The sequence below is a fragment of the Homo sapiens genome, chromosome 7 (assembly GCF_000001405.40).
Source record: "Homo sapiens chromosome 7, GRCh38.p14 Primary Assembly".
Classification (NCBI taxonomy): Eukaryota; Metazoa; Chordata; class Mammalia; order Primates; family Hominidae; genus Homo; species Homo sapiens.
In genome coordinates this window covers 101,014,150-101,031,353 of record NC_000007.14, presented here as the reverse complement: position 1 = coordinate 101,031,353, position 17,204 = coordinate 101,014,150, and the positions used below count along the sequence as shown (strand labels likewise).

The 17,204-nt window shown below is 52.5% G+C and overlaps 2 protein-coding genes and 1 long non-coding RNA gene across 5 annotated transcripts in view, besides 5 other annotated features; 1 reads left to right on the top strand and 2 right to left on the bottom strand.

Annotated features, from left to right (window-relative positions):
- The window catches only part of MUC17 (mucin 17, cell surface associated), a 38,779-nt gene extending 27,506 nt beyond the window's left edge, over positions 1 to 11,273 (bottom strand). For both annotated transcript variants that reach the window (NR_133665.2, NM_001040105.2), the window contains exons 1-2: positions 11,137 to 11,273; positions 133 to 234 (exon numbers count right to left, since the gene is read on the bottom strand). Coding sequence is in view for 1 of the 2 variants with exons in the window: in NM_001040105.2 (NP_001035194.1) it covers positions 133 to 234; positions 11,137 to 11,218 (184 nt within the window). In the remaining variant the exon portion in view is untranslated. The remainder of the gene's footprint in view (positions 1 to 132; positions 235 to 11,136) is intronic.
- Positions 12,373 to 12,522: an enhancer, noted in NCBI's record as "active region_26397". NCBI's record gives its function as "activates an Ori minimal core promoter by ATAC-STARR-seq in GM12878 lymphoblastoid cells {active_cell/tissue: GM12878}" and the evidence as "EXISTENCE:reporter gene assay evidence [ECO:0000049][PMID:35858748]".
- Positions 12,418 to 17,204, bottom strand: part of MUC12 (mucin 12, cell surface associated) — a 49,372-nt gene continuing 44,585 nt past the window's right edge. The window contains exons 10-12 of the mRNA NM_001164462.2: positions 15,663 to 15,739; positions 13,691 to 13,779; positions 12,418 to 12,759 (exon numbers count right to left, since the gene is read on the bottom strand). Of these exons, the coding sequence (NP_001157934.1) occupies positions 12,718 to 12,759; positions 13,691 to 13,779; positions 15,663 to 15,739 (208 nt within the window). The 3' untranslated portion in view covers positions 12,418 to 12,717. The remainder of the gene's footprint in view (positions 12,760 to 13,690; positions 13,780 to 15,662; positions 15,740 to 17,204) is intronic.
- Positions 12,572 to 12,866: a silencer, noted in NCBI's record as "tiled region #8701; K562 Repressive non-DNase unmatched - State 10:DNaseD". NCBI's record gives its function as "represses a minimal TATA promoter and a strong SV40 promoter by Sharpr-MPRA in K562 cells {active_cell/tissue: K562}" and the evidence as "EXISTENCE:reporter gene assay evidence [ECO:0000049][PMID:27701403]".
- Positions 13,713 to 13,862: an enhancer, noted in NCBI's record as "active region_26396". NCBI's record gives its function as "activates an Ori minimal core promoter by ATAC-STARR-seq in GM12878 lymphoblastoid cells {active_cell/tissue: GM12878}" and the evidence as "EXISTENCE:reporter gene assay evidence [ECO:0000049][PMID:35858748]".
- Positions 13,746 to 17,034, top strand: MUC12-AS1 (MUC12 antisense RNA 1). Of its 2 annotated transcripts, none has more exons than NR_120520.1 (3): positions 13,746 to 13,939; positions 16,087 to 16,156; positions 16,915 to 17,034. It is a non-coding gene; the product is annotated as an MUC12 antisense RNA 1 (long non-coding RNA). The 2 variants fall into 2 exon arrangements; NR_120519.1 differs by having other exon boundaries at positions 16,064 to 16,156.
- Positions 13,933 to 13,982: an enhancer, noted in NCBI's record as "active region_26395". NCBI's record gives its function as "activates an Ori minimal core promoter by ATAC-STARR-seq in GM12878 lymphoblastoid cells {active_cell/tissue: GM12878}" and the evidence as "EXISTENCE:reporter gene assay evidence [ECO:0000049][PMID:35858748]".
- Positions 15,415 to 16,083: an enhancer, noted in NCBI's record as "H3K4me1 hESC enhancer chr7:100658552-100659220 (GRCh37/hg19 assembly coordinates)". NCBI's record gives its function as "activates a minimal SCP1, AML or CMV promoter by ChIP-STARR-seq in primed H9 embryonic stem cells {active_cell/tissue: H9 hESC(primed)}" and the evidence as "EXISTENCE:reporter gene assay evidence [ECO:0000049][PMID:30033119]".

Genomic DNA, 17,204 nt, shown 5'->3' with positions numbered 1-17,204 from the left:
AATTCCTGGCCCCAGATCTCAAGCCGTCACACACTGTAAAATATGGCAGCTTCACCAGCCTGGCAGGGGTCGCTCTAGCCCTTTCGCAGGTGAGCCACCTTCCCAGATAGATCTTGGAGTCTGTTGCCTTACCTGTCCTAACGTGCTGAGACAGCTGCTGGCACTGACGGTTCAAGACGTCCCCTTGGGAGATGCACCCTCCTCCATCCCACACAGCCCTGTTCACACTGAGGTCTGAAAGAGACAAAGGGGAGTTAGTATCCCAGAGCCATGATCTTCCTTCATTCTCTTGAAGACTCTGAGTCTCTACTCCCTGCCCTGGAAAGTCCCTGGCCCCTGAACCAGCCTGCTGATTTTAGTTAGAAATCAGCCATCAGGACCCTGCCCCAGAAAGTAAAGCAAGAAGATGGTACAGGGGATTTGCTCCCCAGCCTGGAGGAGGTCCAGCAATGTCAAATTGTGCAGGTGGCATGTGCCCGTAGTTCCAGCACTTTGGAGGCTGGGGGGAGAGGATCGCTTGAGCCCAGGAGGTCAAGGCTACAGTGAGCTATGATTGCACTACTGCACTCCAGCCTAGGTGACAGAGTGAGACCCTGTCTCTACAAAATTTTATAAAAATTAGCTGGGGATGGTGGCACATGCCTGTAGTCCCAGCTACCCAGGAGGCTGAGGCAGGAGGATCACTTGAGCCCAGGAGATCATGTTCATAATGAGCTATGATGGCACCACTGCACTCTAGCCTGGGTGACAGAGTGAGACCTTGTCTCTAAAATGAATAAATAAATATTTTTTAAAAGATAGAATATGACCTATTAGAATAACATGCCAACTGACTGGGCGTGGTGGCTCATGCCTGTAATCCCAGCACTTTGGGAAGCTGAGGCAGGTGGATCACGAGGTCAGGAGTTCGAGACCAGCCTGGCCAACATGGCAAAACCCTGTCTCTACTAAAAATACAAAAATTAGCTGGGCATGGTGGCATGTGCACCTGTAGTCCCAACTACTTGGGAGCCAGAGGCAGGAGAATTGCTTGAATCTGGGAGTCAGAGGTTGCAGTGAGCCAAGATCACACCACTGTACTCCAGCCTGGGTGACAGGGCAAGACTCAAAAAAAAAAAAAAAAGCCAACATTGTAATTGCTATTTGAAATATATAAGTGAGTGGTTGATTTAGATTTGTGATTTTCCATTAGAACATTGCTAAGATTGTAAACTGTTAAAACATTTAAGAGAACTTAAGGTTCAACACACGTAAACATTTAATTAGACCCGTAGAACAATCTATGTGTGGGAAAGTTTTAAAAATATATACATTTAATTTGTTAGATTTATGGAATTTCTTAAGTACTTGGGAAGTTTAATTTATTAATCAGACAACTGAAGTCCTTCAATAGAAAATACAATGTACAGTCACATATTCTTAGCTAGAAAATTTACTAAAAAAAAACCTAAAAGAGGTCGGGCACGGTGGTTCACGCCTGTAATCTCAGCATTTTGGGAGGCCGAGCCAGGCGTATTACCTGAGGTCAGGAGTTCAAGACCAGCCTGGCCAACATGGTGAAACCCTGTCTCTACTAAAAATACAAAAATTAGCCGGGTGCGGCGGCGTGCACCTATAATCCCAGCTACTCGGGAGGCTGAGGCAGGAGGATTGCTTGAGCCTGGGAGACAGAGGTTGCAGTGAGCTGAGATCGTGCCACTGCACTCCGGCCTGGCCAACAGAGCGAGACTCTGTCTCAAAAAATAATAATAATAATAATAAATTAATTAAAAAACGGAATGCAAAAATTCCCAGCACCCAACAAGGTAAAATTCACAACATCTGGCATGAATCATTACTGAGTATGAACAGTCAAGAAAACATGAACGATGGAGAGAAAAATAATCAACCTATGGAAACCTACCCAGAATGGACACAGACATAAGAATCTTCAGAGAAAGGCATTTAAGTAGTATGTGTGTGTGTATGTATGTATACATGTATGTATGTATGTATTTAGAGACAGAGCCTCGCTCTGTTGCCCAGGCTGGAGTGCAGTGGCGCGATCTCTGCTCACTGCAACCTCTGCCTCCCAGGTTCAAGCAATCCTCCTGCCTCAGCCTCCTGAGTAGCTGGGATTACAGACACCTGCCACCGTGTCCAGCTATTTTTTTTTTTTCTTTTTTGAGATGTAGTTTTGCTCTTGTTGCCCAGGCTGGAGTGCAATGGTGTGATCTTGGCTCACCACAACCTCTGCCTTCTGGGTTCAAGTGATTCTCCTGCCTCAGCCTCCCGAGTAGCTGGGATTACAGGCATGCGCCACCACACCCCAACTAATCTTGTATTTTTAGTAGAGATGGGGTTTCTCCACGTTGGTCAGGCTGGTCTCGAACTCCCGACCTCAGGTGATCTGCTGGCTTCGGCCTCCCAAAATGCTGGGTTTACAGGCATGAACCACCACGTCCGGACTTATTTATTAATTTTTAAGAGACAGTGTCTCTCTGTATCGCCCAGGCTGGAGTGCAGTGGGGCAATCATAGCTTACTGCAACCTCAAATTCCTGGGCTCAAGCAATTCTTCCACTTCAGCCTCCTGAGTAGCTGGCACTACAGGCATGAGACACCACACCTAGCCAGTTTTTTAAAAGTTTTTTTTTTTTGTAGAGACAGGGGTCTCACTATGCTGCCCAGGCTGCTCTTGAACTCTGGGCCTCAAGGGATCCTGCTGCCTCAGCCTCCCAAAGTGCTGGGATTACAGGTATGAGCCACCGCATCCAGTCCAAAATAGCTTCTATAACTGTTCCATATGTGCAATAATCCAATAGAAACATGGAAAAATGTGTATATAAACAAACAGAACTTCTAGAGATAAAAAAAATACACCAGATGGGATTAAGGACAGATTAGACATTGAAGAAGAAAATAAATAATGATGTGAAGGGATGGCAATAGAAACTATCCACACTGAAAGACGTAAAGAAAAAATGATCTGGACGCGGTGGCTTATGCCTGTAATCCCAGCACTTTGAGAGGCCGAGGCGGGCAGATCACAAGGTCAGGAGTTCGAGACCAGCCTGGCAAATATAGTGAAACCCTGTCTCTACTAAAAATACAAAAATTAGCTGGGTGTGATGGCATACACCTGTAGTCCCAGCTACTCGGGAGGCTGAGGCAGAAGAATCACTTGAACTGGGAGGCAGAGGTTGCAGTGAGCCAAGATCGTGCCACTGCACTCCAGCCTGGGTGACGGAGCAAGACTCCATCTCAAAAAAAAAAAAAAAAAGAATTAAAAAAAAATTTAAGGGTGAGGTGCAGTGGCTCACACCTGTAATCCCAGCACTTTGGGAAGCCCAGACAGGCAGATCACTTGAGCCCAGGAGTTCGAGACCAGCCTGGGCAACATGATGAAACCTCCATCTCAACAAAAAATACAAAAATTTGCTGGGCATCATGGCATGCACCTGTAGTACCAGCTACTTGAGAGGCCGAGACAGGAGAACTGCTTGAGCCCTAAAGGCGGAGGTTGCAGTGAGCTCAGATTGCATCACTGCACTCCAGTCTGGACAATGGAATGAAATCCTCTCTCAAAAAAAAAAGAAATTTTTTTTTAAAGATTATCAGTAAGTGTTGGGACAACTTTAAGCAGCCTAATATATAGGAGTCCCTAAAGGCAAGGAGAAAAAGGGGTAACTAAAAAATATGTGAAGAAAGAATGGCCCCAAATTTTCAAACTTGATAAAAACTATAAGCCCACAGCTCCAAAAAATTCAACAACTCCAAACACAAGACACATGAAGAAAACTACCAGGGCTCTCAGATTCTACAGATGTTAAAATGGAGATCTGTAAACAACTTCATGCCAATAAATTTGACAACTTAGATGAAATGAACAAATTCTCTGGAAGACACAAACTAGAAAAGCTCACTCAAGAATAAATAGATTGGCCAGGCATGGTGGTTCATGCTTGTAATCCCAGCCCTTTAGGGGACCAAGGGGCGGTGGATCACTTGAGACCAGGAGTTCGAGACCAGCCTGAGCAATAGCGAGAAACCTCATCTCTACAAGAAATATAAAATATAAAAATTAGGGCTGGGCATGGGCCCTAGGTGCCCCACCCCCAACCTCACTTACTACCTTTCATCCACACTGGATTCATGCAAATTAGTATAATATAATATAATATAATTTCTTTTTATTACTTTTAATAGACATACAGATGGGGTCTTGCTATGTTGCCCAGATAGTCCCAAGCTCTGGGTCCAAAGTGATCCTCCAGCCTCGGCCTCCCAAAATGCTGGAATTACAGACATGAGCCACTGTGTCTGGCATATTATCTTTCAATAATGAAAAAATAAAATAGGCCAGGCATGATGGCTCACACCTGTAATCCCAGCACTTTGGGAAGCCAAGTGGGGAGGGTTGCTTGAGGCCATGAGTTTGAGACCAGCCTCAGAAACATAGCAAGACCTCGTCTGTACTAAAAATAAAAAAAATTAGCTGGGCATGGTGGTGCGTGCCTGTAGTCCCAGGTACTCAAGAGGCTGAGGTAGGTGGATCACTTGAGGCCACAGTTTGAGATCAGCCTAGGCAACATGGTGAGATGCTACCTCTACTAAAAAACAATTAATCGGGCGTGGTGGTGCTTACCTCTAGTCCCAGCTAATTGGGAGGCTGAGGCGGGAAGACCACTTGAGCCCAGGAGTTCAAGGCTGCAGTGAGCTATGATGGCACCACCGCACTCCAGCCTGGGCAACAGAGCGAGGTCATATCTCTTAAAAACCACAAGAAATCTTTGAACGAAGGGCCTTGCATGTCCATTTTGCTCTGGGCCCTAAAATTATGTAACCAGTTTCGTCTAGAACCAGATGAGAGGTCTCAGCCCCATTATCTCAGCACTATGAGCTGCATGAAGTCGCTTAGTCTGTGGGGTGCTAGTGGCTGGGGTTGGCTACCTAAGACAGAGTGTGCCAGGGATGGAGTGACAAGGCCAAGTTACCAAGGCCAACGAGGCTTCATGGATTCCATAGCCAGCCCTCCTTATGGCAAAGCCAGGCCATAGGCCCAGGCCCACAGCAGGACTTCCTGGAAACAGCATACCCCTGTCCCTGCCTGGGCCTGGCCCCTGCAGGTAAATCCAGGCAGATATAGGAGGCCAAGGGCTCCCCGTGAGCACCTTCACTCCACTGTGCCCGGTAGGCCCTGATCCACTGACCCCTAAGAGGTGGGAAGAGGGTGGAGTCAGAGGGAAGTAAAAAAGCTTTGCAGGGGTGAGTATAGGAGACAAGGGGAGAGAAGGGACTGGGACTTGGACAGTGTTATTGGGGTGAGTCCACCACACACAGCAAGCACTCAGTTCCACAACATCTACCGTGTGGGCTCCTCCATAACTGCTTTCTTTTATTTTTATTTTTTCTTTCTTTCTTTTTTGAGACAAGGTCTCACTGTTGCCCAGGCTGGAGTGCAGTCTTGGCTCACTGCAATCTCCGCCTCCTGGGTTCAAGCAATCCTTCAACTTCAGTCTCCCAAGTAGCTGGGACTACAGGCATGCATCACCATGCCCAGCTTTTTTTTTTTTTTTTTGAGAGAGAGATCTCGCTCTGTCACCCAGGCTGGAGCGCAGTGGCATGATCCTGGCTCGCTGCAACCTCCACCTCCCAGGTTCAAGAGATTTACCTGCCTCAGCCTCCTGAGTAGCTGGGATTACAGGGGCACATAACTACACCTGGCTAATTTTTTTGTATTTTTAGTAGAGGCGGGGTTTCACCATGTTGGCCAGGCTGGTCTCGAACTCCTGACCTCATGCAATCCGCCCGCCTTGGCCTCCCAAAGTGCTGGGATTACTGGTGTGAGCCACTGTGCTTGGCCTATATTTTTTGTAGAGACAGATTTTCACCATGTTAGCCAGGCTGGTCTTAAACTCCTGGCCTCAAGTGATCCGCCTGCCTTGGCCTCCCAAAGTGCTGGGATTACAGGTGTAAGCCACCATGCCAAGCCTCTTTTTTTTTTTTTCTTAAGACGGAGTCTCCCTCTGTCACCCAGGCTGGATTGCAGTGGTGCAAACATGGCTTATTGCAGCCTCCACCTCCTGGCCTCAAGTGATCCTCCTACCTCAGCCTCCCAAGTAGCTGGGACCACAGGCGCACACCACAATGCCTAATTTTTACATTTTTTTGTAGAGATGAAAGTCTCCCTGTGTTGCCCAGGCTGGTCTCAAACTTCTGGGCTCAAGCGATCCTCCCACCTCAGCCTCCCAAAGTGCTGGGATTCCAGGCATGAACCACCCATGCCTGGTCCTCTAATTGTTTTTATGTTGGCTCTGTTCTCCCCAAACCCATTAAATTTTTCTTTTTTTTAGAGACGTGGTCTCCGTCTGTTACCCAGGCTGGAGTGCAGTCCTCAAGTGGGGTGCTGGTGGCCGTGGTCAGTCACCTAAGACAGAGTGTGCCAGCCTCCCAAAATGCTGAGATTACAGACATAAACCACTGCTCCTGGTCAACGATTTCTTTTTTTAAAAGAAGGCCTGCTCCCTCCCATCAAGATGGAGGTGGAGGTTGCAGTGAGCTGACATCACGCTACAGCACTCCAGCCTGGGCGACAGGGCAAGGCGCCATCTCAGAAAAAAAAAAAAAAAAAAAAGGAGGAGACAGAGCAGGGAGGAGGTTTGGGAGTGAAATAAAAGATCAGTGCTCAAGTGCTATTCTCCATTAATTTTGACCAATTACAGAGAAATAGATTGTTCATGTTGAAGCCAAAGCGTTCATCTGATCTCAGAAGGTTAGGGCAATGGGTTGGGTTGAGGCCCCGCAGACCAGGCAACTACCTCCCCACTGGAGGGCCATGGGAGGTGGGAGGATGGGGATGGAAGAGAAGGAGGCAGAAGCAGTTGCGGTCACAACCCCCCTTCTCCTCACTTGTTTCCTCCCTTGCCGTTTTGTTCCAGCTATTAGCAATTTCTTCTTTTTCTTTTTTTTTTTTGAGATAGAGTCTCACTTTGTCGCCCAGGCTGGAGTGCAGTGATGCCATCTCGGCTCACGGCAACCTCTGCCTCCCAGATTCAAGTGATTGTCGTGTCTCAGCCTCCTGAGGGGCTGAGATTACAGGCTTGTCACACCATGCCCAGATAATTTTTCTATTTTTAGTAGAGATGGGGTTTTGCCAGGTTGGCCAGGCTGATCTTGAACTCCTGACCTCAAGTGATCCACCGCCTCAGCCTCCCAAAGGGCTGGGATTACAGGCATGAATCACTACTCCTGGTCAGCAATTTCTCTTTTAAAAAAAAAAGAAAGCCTGCTCCCTCCCATCAAAAAGTGGGCAAAGGCCATGAACAGACACTTCTCAAAAGAAGATCAACAAATGACCACCAAGCATATGAAAAAATGCTCAACATCACTAATCATCAGGGAGATGCAAATTGAAACCACAATGAGATATAGAATATATCCCAGTCACAGTGATCGTTATTAAAAAGCCAAAAAAAAAAACTGCAAATAGATGTTGGCATGGATGTGGTAAAAAGGGAATGCTTATACATTGCTGACAGGAAGTAAATCAGTACAACCTCTATAGAAAACAGTATGGAGATTTCTCAGAGAACTCAAAGTAAATCTGCCATTTGATCCTGCAATCCCACTACTGGGTATCTAATGAAAAGAAAACAAGTCACTGTATCAGCCAGGGGCAGTGGCTCATGCCTGTAATCCCCACACTTTGGGAGGCTGAGGTGGACAAATCAGTTGAGGTCAGGAGTTCGAGACCAGCCTGGTCAACATGGCGAAACCCCCGTCTCTACTGAAAATACAAAAATTAGCCAGGCATAATTTAGCCAGCATTACAGGTGGTGGGCGCCTGTAATCCCAGCTACTCAGGAGGCTGAGGCAGGAGAATCACTTGAACCTGGGAGGCAGAGGTTGCAATGAGCTGAGATAGTGTCACTGCACTCCAGCCTGGGACAGAGTGAGACCATGTCTTAAAAAAATATAAAAACCAAAAATATTTCTTTTTAATTTTGAAAGGTCTGCTCCTCATGCCCCACCCCGGCAGGGTCTCCCCTCATTCCTTTCTGTTGTGAGCTGAACTGAACCCTAATCCCCAGTGCCCCAGAAGTTGGCCTTATTTGGAGATAGGGTTTTTGCAGGGGATCGAGTTAAACTGAGGTCACTAGCATGGGTCCTAACCCAACACAGAGACAGACACACCCACAGCGAGATGAAGTAAAGATGGAGGCAAAGCGTCTACCAGCCCAGGAACGCCAGAGATTGCCACCAACCACCCGCAACCAGGAAACAGGCCTGGGACAGACCCTTCCCTGGCGACTTCAGAGGGATCATGGCCCTGTGACACCTCGGTTTTAGATTCTGGCCTCCAGGACAGCAAGGCAATCCATTTCTGTTATTGTAAGGCACGGAGATTGCTGTGCTTTATAATGACAGCCCCAGGGAGCAAAAACTACAGTTTTTTCTGGTCCCCTGTGGTTGCAGGGGTGGGTTTGAGGCAAGGAGAGTTAGTGCAGATTCCTGGAAGGCTCCCTGGAGGAGGTGGGTGTTTTTGATTTTTTTTTTAGAGACAGGGTCTCACTCTGTCATCCAGGCTGGAGTGCAGTAGTGCAATCACAGCTCACTGCAGCCTCGACCTCCCAGGCTCAAGCAGTCCTCCCACCTCAGCCTCCCAGGTAGGTGGGACACAGGCGTGTACCACCATTTCCAGCTAATTTATTGTAGAGATGGGGTCTTGCTATGTTGCCCAGGATGGTCTCAAACTCCTAGGCTCAAGTGATCCTTCCAACTTGGCCTCCCAATATGCCTGGATTATAGGCATGAGCCACTGCACCTGGCCTGGGAGGAGAGCCTTGTTGATGGGAGTAGGGAGCTGGGGTAGACATTTGAAGTTTCCTTAGAATCTCTCAGGAGGGTACTGGGTGCAGTGGCTCACGCCTGTAATCCCAGCACTTTGGGAAGCAGAGGCAGGTGGATCACCTGAGATTCCGAGTTCAAGACCACCCTCGCCAACATGGCGAAACCCCGTCTCTACTAAAAATACACAAATTAGCTGGGTACAGTAGCGTGCATCCGTAATCCCAGCTACTCGGGAGGCTGAGGCAGGAGAATTGCTTGAACCTGGGAGGTGGAGGTTGCAGTGAGCTGAGATGGCGCCACCGCACTCCAGCCTGGGAGATAGACTGAGACTCCTCCTCAAAAAAAAAAAAAAAAAAAAATCTCTCGGGAGGAGGACAAGAGTGGGATGGTGATGGAAGTGCTAGATGGGGACAGAGCCCTAGACAGGGATGGGGGGAGGGCAAAGGGATACCTGCCATGGACAGGTGACTGAGCACCCAAGCCTTGGTGGCCCTCATGCTGGGTGTAGGGATGAGAGGGCATCTGTGATGGCAGGGCCGGGCTGGGCAAACAGACAGGACATTGTGTTTTGTTGACAAGCAATATAACCAGGTGATCTGCAGGATGAGAGGGTGTGTCTGCTGGGAAGGACCAGGCTGAGGCCACTGCAGCTCTCTCTCTAGACCCACGCCCTGCCCTGGTATCCCCAGCCCCATGACTTCAGCAGGGGTGAGGCTCTGGGTCCCTGGAGAAGGGACATGGAAAGGGTCAGAGGCTGCCCAAAGCTGGCCAGGGTCCCAAAGGACAGCCAATGCCAGGCACAGAGACGGAGGAGCCACAGAATCCTGGAGAGTAGGAACAGGGTCTGAGAAGTCACATTCTACAAAGGCAGACTGAGGCTAGGGATGAAATCAATGATAACACGCAGAAAGTGGGGAGAGGCCAGGAAGGGGCCAAGGAGAGGTGGGGAGAAGAAGAAAGAGAAGAGAGGGGGAAGGAAGGGGCTAGAAGAACCCAGGAAGAGGGAAGGGAGGAGCAGAGAGAAAGAAAGGAGGGGGCCAGGAGCGGTGGCTCACCCCTGTAATCCCAGCACTTTGGGAGCCCAAGGTGGGAGGACTACCTGAGATCAGGAGTTTGAGACCAGCCCGGTTAACATGGTGAAACCCTGTCCTTACTAAAAATATACAAAATCTAGCTGGGCATGGTGGCATGTGGCTGTAATCCCAGCTACTCAAGAGCCTGAGGCGGGAGAATCGCTTGAACCCGGGAGGCAGAGGTTGCAGTGGGCTGACATCACGCTACAGAACTCCAGCCTGGGTGACAGAGCGAGGCTCCGTCTCAAAAAAAAAAAAAAAAAAAAAAGGAGGAGACAGAGGTGAGGGTTGGGGAGGAAAACAAAAGATCATGTCTAAGATGCTGTTATTAGAGATACATCACCAAGGGTCTGGAAGGCACAGAAAGTGCAAGGAAAGGAGTGTTTTCATTACAACGAATGGGCTGGCAGATCTGGGTGAGATTGCCACAGGGTGACATCTCGAGGGGCAGGGACCCTGAGGTCTATGGGTCCAGTTTCTGTCTTGGTTCCCCTGCGCCCTTCTCTGGGGGCAGGTGAGGGGCAGAGGGAGCTCCCAGAGAGTCCAGCTGGAACCCACTGTCATCCCTCCTGCTCTGAGCCCCCCGGGGTCCCTGTGGCCATGAAGCCCAAAGCGGCTGAGCTGGAATGATCCTCAGAGGTCCTAATGCCTTGTCTTTTGGGGAGACTGAGGCAGGAGATGAACTGAGCGGCCCCAGGGTGCACAGCTGGTTCATGGCAGGATTAGAATCTGGGGCTCCTGAAACGCCATTTTGTGCCCATGTGGCTATGTCCCGGAAACATTCCTGGGGCACACAGCAGGGTGTGCTGGTGTGGGAGGTGACAGGGACTTGGCGGGAACATTCACTGGGTAAGGATAGACTCTAATATGGGTTGAACACCAGTCTTGTGCCAGGGATCATGCCTCGGGGGGGGAGCTCTTTTCAATCCTAGCAGCTGCCCTGAAAAGCAGGTGTTATTATTCTTACTTTCCGGAGGGGAGACTGAGGCTCGGAAGGGGAAACTAAGGCTCAGAGACCTCAACTGGAAGAGGCTCCAATGCCCTGGCTCTTCCCCCAAAGCTCGCTGGGGAGAGAAGAGAAGTCCAGGGGGTAGGCACAGGGCTGAGCTCCAGGCAGAGGGCACACCCCTATTGGTGTCCTGGAGGCAGCTCTCCCTCGGGGATGGGCAGACAGAGCAGGCTGGCCCCTGGGATGGGGGCCTCTTGGGCAGCGGGGCGTGGGGGTCACTCACCCTGTTCTGCAGCAGCTTGTGGGGGCAAGAGCGAGAGGACCAAGGTCAGCAGACACAGCGCCATGGTCCCTGGCCTTGGCATCGGAGCTCTGAGCACGTCTCACTTGCCTGTCACCCCCAGAGGAGCTGGCGAAATGAGCCTCAGAGAAGGAAACTGATAAATAAATGGGTGCCAGAGACCTTTGGTCCCTGAGACACTGGGGATCAGGGGCCAGCCTGAGCCTGAGTCAGTCTGGAAGCTTCCCTCATGACTTGGGGCGCAGGGCCTGTTTCAGGCCAAAGGGCAGAGGGAGGGGGTGCCTCTCCCTGGCCCGGCAGCCCATAGGCATGAGGGTTATCAGCTTTATCACCCCAACAGAGGGGCAGCCCAGAGGGCCTGTAGGAGCCAGGGGGGAACTGATGAGATCCCCCGACCGAGGGTGGTGGGAGATGGGCAAGAGGGACTGGGCCTGAGCTGGGAAAGGAGGAGGGTACCACCTGCATTTGACCCTAACCCCTAGCAGGGACACCCCCTTTGTCTCTTTTCTAACCCTTCTTATTGGCCGGGTATGGTGGCTCACACCTGTAATCCCAGCACTTTGGGAGGCTGACGCGGGAAGATCACTTGAGATGAGGAGTTTGAGACCAACCTGGCCAACATGATGAAACACCATCTCTACTAAAAATACAAAAATCAGCCAGACTTGGTGGCGGGCGCCTGTAATCCCAGCTACTCAGGAGGCTGAGGCAGGAGAATCGCTTGAACCTGGGAGGCGGAGGTTGCAGAGAGCCAAGATCGTGCCTCCGTACTCCAGCCTGGGCAACAGAGCAAGACTCTGTCTCGGCAAAAATAAATAAATAAAATAACCCTTCTTATTGTCCTATGAGTATGCCCTGAAGACATGGCCATGCCTGGGCAGGGAGTTCTTGGGTTTGGTCTGTGGGTTCCGAGGTAAGCACAGCTCCCATGGCCATCTGGAGTGACCCTGCCTTGTGCAAGCTCAGCAGAGCCAAGTGCTCACTCCCTGGCCAACTGGGGTTGAATCTGAGGTCCTCTCCTGTCCCCAGAACCTGACATTAGGCTTTTCTGCCACAGGGACCTCAGCAGAGGCAGGCCTAGACCTGTCCTGACTGGAGCCGGGGAGGGGGCTCCCTGCAAAGACACAGGAAGGGGCCCAGAGCATTCGTTCCATGCCCCATTCAGCAGCCAGTCCTGGGAGAAATCCCATCCCAGGAGGGCTCTGACCCCTAACCTGACCCCAACTGCAGAAGGAGGAGAAGGAAACCTCTCACTTCTCATTCTGAGCTTTCAGATTTGCTTTTATTGGTAGGGAAATTCCAGAGTGGGGAGCCACCCAGGAGGAGACAGGGGTGCCGAGGCTTCTGGGAGTCTGGAAGCTCCCGGATGGAGAGGCTTACAGCCCCCAGCCTTCCCCAGCAGGAGCACAGGCAGGGGACTGGCCAAGTCTGTCAGCTCAGAGCAGGACCGGCTTCAGGGCCTGACTTCGGTCTCCTCTTGACCCGCCCCGGAGGCTTGTGGTGGGCTCTGTGTTTGCAGCTCTCCTGAACAGAGCTAGATGAGGGTGGGAGGCCCCCGTTGGCTCACACAGTGGATGCTACCATCTCCGGCCTCTGGATGTGGAGCTGGGGGACGGGAGAGAAGAGGTGAGGCCAAGGGGCAGACCCGGGAAAGGGGGAGCCCCAGGAGGAAGAGGGAGCCCTGGCGGGGAGGAGGGAACCCCAGGGGGAGGGAGGGAGTCCCAGGGGGAGGGAGGGAGTCCTAGGGAGAGGAGGGAGTGGCGGGGGAGGGGGGAGTCCCAGGGGAAGGGGTGGCCCCAGGGTGAGGAGGGAGTCCTGGGGGAGGAGGGAGTCCCAGGAGAAGGGAGGGAGTCCTAGGGGGAGAAGGGAGTCCCAGGGGTAGGGAGAGTGTCCCAGGGAGAGGGAGGGAGTCCTAAGGAGAGGAGGGAGTCCTGGGGGAGGAGGGAGTCCCGGGGGAAGGGAGGGAGTCCCGGGGGAAGGGAAGGGGTCCCAGGGGGAGGGAGGGAGTCCCAGGGGGAAGGGAAGGGGTCCCAGGGGGAGGGGAGGGAGTCCCAGGGGGAAGGGGAAGGGGTCCCAGGGGGAGGGAGGGAATCCAGGGGGGAAGGGAGGGGTCCCAGGGGGAGGGAGGGAGTCCCAGGGGGAAGGGAAGGGGTCCCAGGGGGAGGGAGGGAGTCCCAGGGGGAAGGGAAGGGGTCCCAGGGGGAGGGAGGGAGTCCCAGGGGGAAGGGAAGGGGTCCCAGGGGGAGGGAGGGAATCCCAGGGGGAAGGGAAGGGGTCCCAGGGGGAGGGAGGGAGTCCCAGGGGGAAGGGAAGGGGTCCCAGGGGGAGGGAGGGAGTCCCAGGGGGAAAGGAAGGGGTCCCAGGGGGAGGAAGGGAGTCCCAGGGGGAAGGGAAAGGGAAGGGGTCCCAGGGGGAAGGGAGGGAGTCCCAGGGGGAGAAGGGAGTCCCAGGGGGAGAAGGGAGTCCCGGGGGAAGAGGGAACCCCAGAGGAAGTGGAGCAGCCTCAGGGGGTGGGGGCAGCTCGCAGCTGAGTCACCTCTGTGCCAGAGTCAACAGTCTCCAGGGTGGGCCGGAAGTTGTTGTAGGCGTTCTCAAGGCCGAATCTGCTCTCCCTCAGATTCTGGTCTGTAGGGAGAGGCCGTGATGAGTGATGGGAGCCTTGGTAGGGGGAGGACTAGGGGGCAGAGGGGATTTCCTCTGGCAAAAGGAAGAGTCAGCCCGGCATCTGCCCTACGCCCTTTCCCACTGCCGACCACCCCTCCGACCCTGCATCACTGGGCTGCGGGTAAGTGCAGAGCCTGCCTGGGGAGCCGCCCGCTGGACCCCGGAACAGGAGGGAGCGGAGCAGAAGCCCCCCACATGCACGGGGTGGAAGCGGGGGCCACGGAGGAGCGTGCGTTCAGCCCTGGACTCAGGGGTGAGGTCAGAGTGGAGCGGGAGACAGGGCTGGCTCTGGGTCAGCAGGGCCGCCCTCCTTCATAGCAACGGTAACCATAGCAGGCAAAAAAGCTGCGTCTGGAATCTTCTTCCAGCATCCTCCCGGAGCACAGCGATCACTTACTTCCTGGTCCCGCAGAACCACTCACTCTCTGGACTCCGGGGCTCTCCCTGCACCTCTGACCCCTCTTTTCCTGCGTCCTCCTAGATCGGGGTCCTCATGCCCTACCTGTCCTTCTACGGGGGCTCCTGGGGGGGGGTTCTCCTTTCACCCTCCTCACTTCTCACTCTGCATTCTCCCCGATGAATGGACAAACCTCTATTCCAGTACGTGGTTCAGGCTGCAGACCCCTCCCGGAGATTCAGACAGGCACGAGCCTTGCAGCCTCCTCCTCAGCACCCACCAGCCCCCCAACTCAGTGTGCTCCACCGGCTGCTTCTCCCCCATCCTTCGGGGCCCAAGGGTCAGCTCGGACAATCCCGGAAATCCTCCCTCACTCCCTCTCCCTCTCCCACCCACTCAGCCTCATCTCCACCAGGCTGCGTCTCCTCTCCCTCCCCCCACCCCCTCAGCCTCACTTCCTCCACCTGGTCTCCCTGCTTTAGTGCTCCCTGAATGGCCTTTTGAGTAAAAAAAATTCAAAATGTGACCGGGCATGGTGGTTCACGCCTGTAATCCCAGCACTTTGGGAGGCCAAGGCGGGCGGATCACCTAAGGTCTGGAGTTCGAGACCAGCCTGGCCAACATGATGAAACCCTGTCTCTACAGTCTCTACTAAAAATACAAAAATTAGCCACGCGTGGTGGCATGCCTGTAATCACAGCTACTAGGGAGGCTGAGGGCAGGAGAATCGCTTGAACCTGGGAGACAGAAGTTGCAGTGAGCCAAGATTGTGCCACTGTACTCCAGCCTGGGTGACAGAGTGAGACTCTGTCTCACAAAAAAAGGTGGGCGGCCAAAGCCCCTCAACCCCCCACCCCATTCCCAAAGCCCTGCCAACCTCACGTCCCTCACTCTTTCTTTGTGAGATTGACCTGCCTTCCCTTCCCCGCCAAAAGCAAGCTCCTTCCCAACTGCAGGCGTTTCTCATGCAGTGCCCCCTGCCTGGGGTGCCCTTTCCCTTGTCCTCACTGGGATAAGGCCTCCCTGCTTACTGGGCTCCCACTGTGTTGAAGGAGGAAGCACACCTGCTTACTCACCTATTCAAGAGTCAGTCTCACCTGGGGGCTAATCTGACCCCCTATCCCCACCCAGGCTGGGTCAGGTCCACCCCTCTGCTCCCTCTGCCCTGGGAATGGCCCTATCACCCCGCTTAGCTGAGTGTGCACTGGATGCCCTCACTGAGTTGGTCTCTGGGGGCAAGATCTGGTTCTCAACCACTCCTGCACTCTTGCACACAGCAGGGGTGGTGTCTGGGTCCGGGGCTGCAGCGGCAGGTAGGGAACGGGCTGTCAGTCACAGCCACCCCAAAGGGGGGCTGGACCCCACGTCACCCCCACAGGCACAGGCACCGCCCTGCCTTTCTTCACCCTCCAGCTCTGCTCATCTCCTTGCCCTTAACTAGAGGTACCTTCCCAGATGGCCGTCTTCTGGAAGATGCCAGGGGTGCCTTCCTTTCGCCACTCTTGAGGCACATCATACTGTTCCCTGCAGACAGAAATGCCTTGAGCAGCTGTAGGCAAGGAGGCTGAGGAGGGACTTGGTGGACCCTGACCTTCAGCTTCCCTCGAGGGGACAGTCACAGCCACACCCCGAGTCAGAGATGGCAGCGATGATGGCAGAGAACAAAAAGTAGCATCACCATGGCTTCCCTTCTACCAAGGCAAGCACTGGCCAGGCCTCCTGGCTGCCCCTCACTCCCTTTAGTGGCCCTCAGTTTCCATATCCATGAGATGGGGGCGTAGGGTAGCTCCCTTCAGTTGCTGACTTCGGGTCAGGTACTGTGCCAGGGTTTCCCAGCAACCTTCACAGGTGCATCTTATCCCATTTTACAGCTGGGAAAAGTGAGACCCAGACGCTCCATCTCAGCTTCCCCATGTGGTGCTGTGCTCTGTGGTGGCCAAGGTGAGTGATAACTAACTACAGGGAATGTCATTACATAGTCTAATTTCCACACATAAGCTTCTGTTTCCATTCTCTGTGTTATGGTTTGAATGTGTCCCTTAGAGTTCATGTGTTGGAAATTTAATCCCCAAGGCAGCAATGCTGAGAGGTAGGACCTTGAAGACATGATTAGGTCATGAAGGTGCTGTCCTCATGAATAGATTAACATCATTATCTCAAAAGTGGGTGTGTAATAAAAGCGAGTTCAGACAGCCAGGGGTGACAGCTCACACCTGTAATCCCAACAACTTTGTAGGCTGAGGTGAGAGGACTGCTTGAGGCCAGGAGTTTCAGACCAGCCGGGGCAATATAGTGAGACCCTATTTCTACAACACATTTAATTTAATTTAATTTAATTTAATTTAATTTAATTTAATTTAAGGCCGGGCACGGTGGCTCACACCTGTAATCCCAGCACTTTGGGAAGCCAGGGTGGGTGGATCACTCAAGGTCAGGAGTTCAAGACCAGCCTGGCCAACATGGTGAAACCCCGTTTCTACTAAAAATACAAAAATTAGCCAGGCATGGTGGAATGCACTTGTAATCCCAGCTACTCGAGAGGCTGAGGCATGAGAATCACTTCAACCTGGGAGGCGGAGGTTGCAGTGAGCCGAGATCATGCCACTGCACTCCAGCCTGGGTGACAGCAAGACCCTGTCTCTTAAAGAAAAAAAAAAAGTGAGTTCAGCCCTCTCTTCCTCTCTGTCCATGTGCTGCAGACTGCCATGTTGCCATGCTGTGATGCAGCAAGAAAGTCCTCACCAGATGCAGCCCCTTGATCTTGGACTTCCCAGCCTCCAGAACTGTGAGCCAAATAAACTTCTATTGTTTATCAATTACCCAGTGGTGGTATTCTGTTATAATAGCACAAAATGGACTAAAACACTGCCAAATTGATGTATCCTACAGGAAGGCCGCCCTTTGCTGCACCCAGGGCTGGGAGGGTCTGGGCACCCCATCTGGCCTCAGCTGACCTCTCTGATTGCTGGCCTGGAAGGAGCAGAGCCTT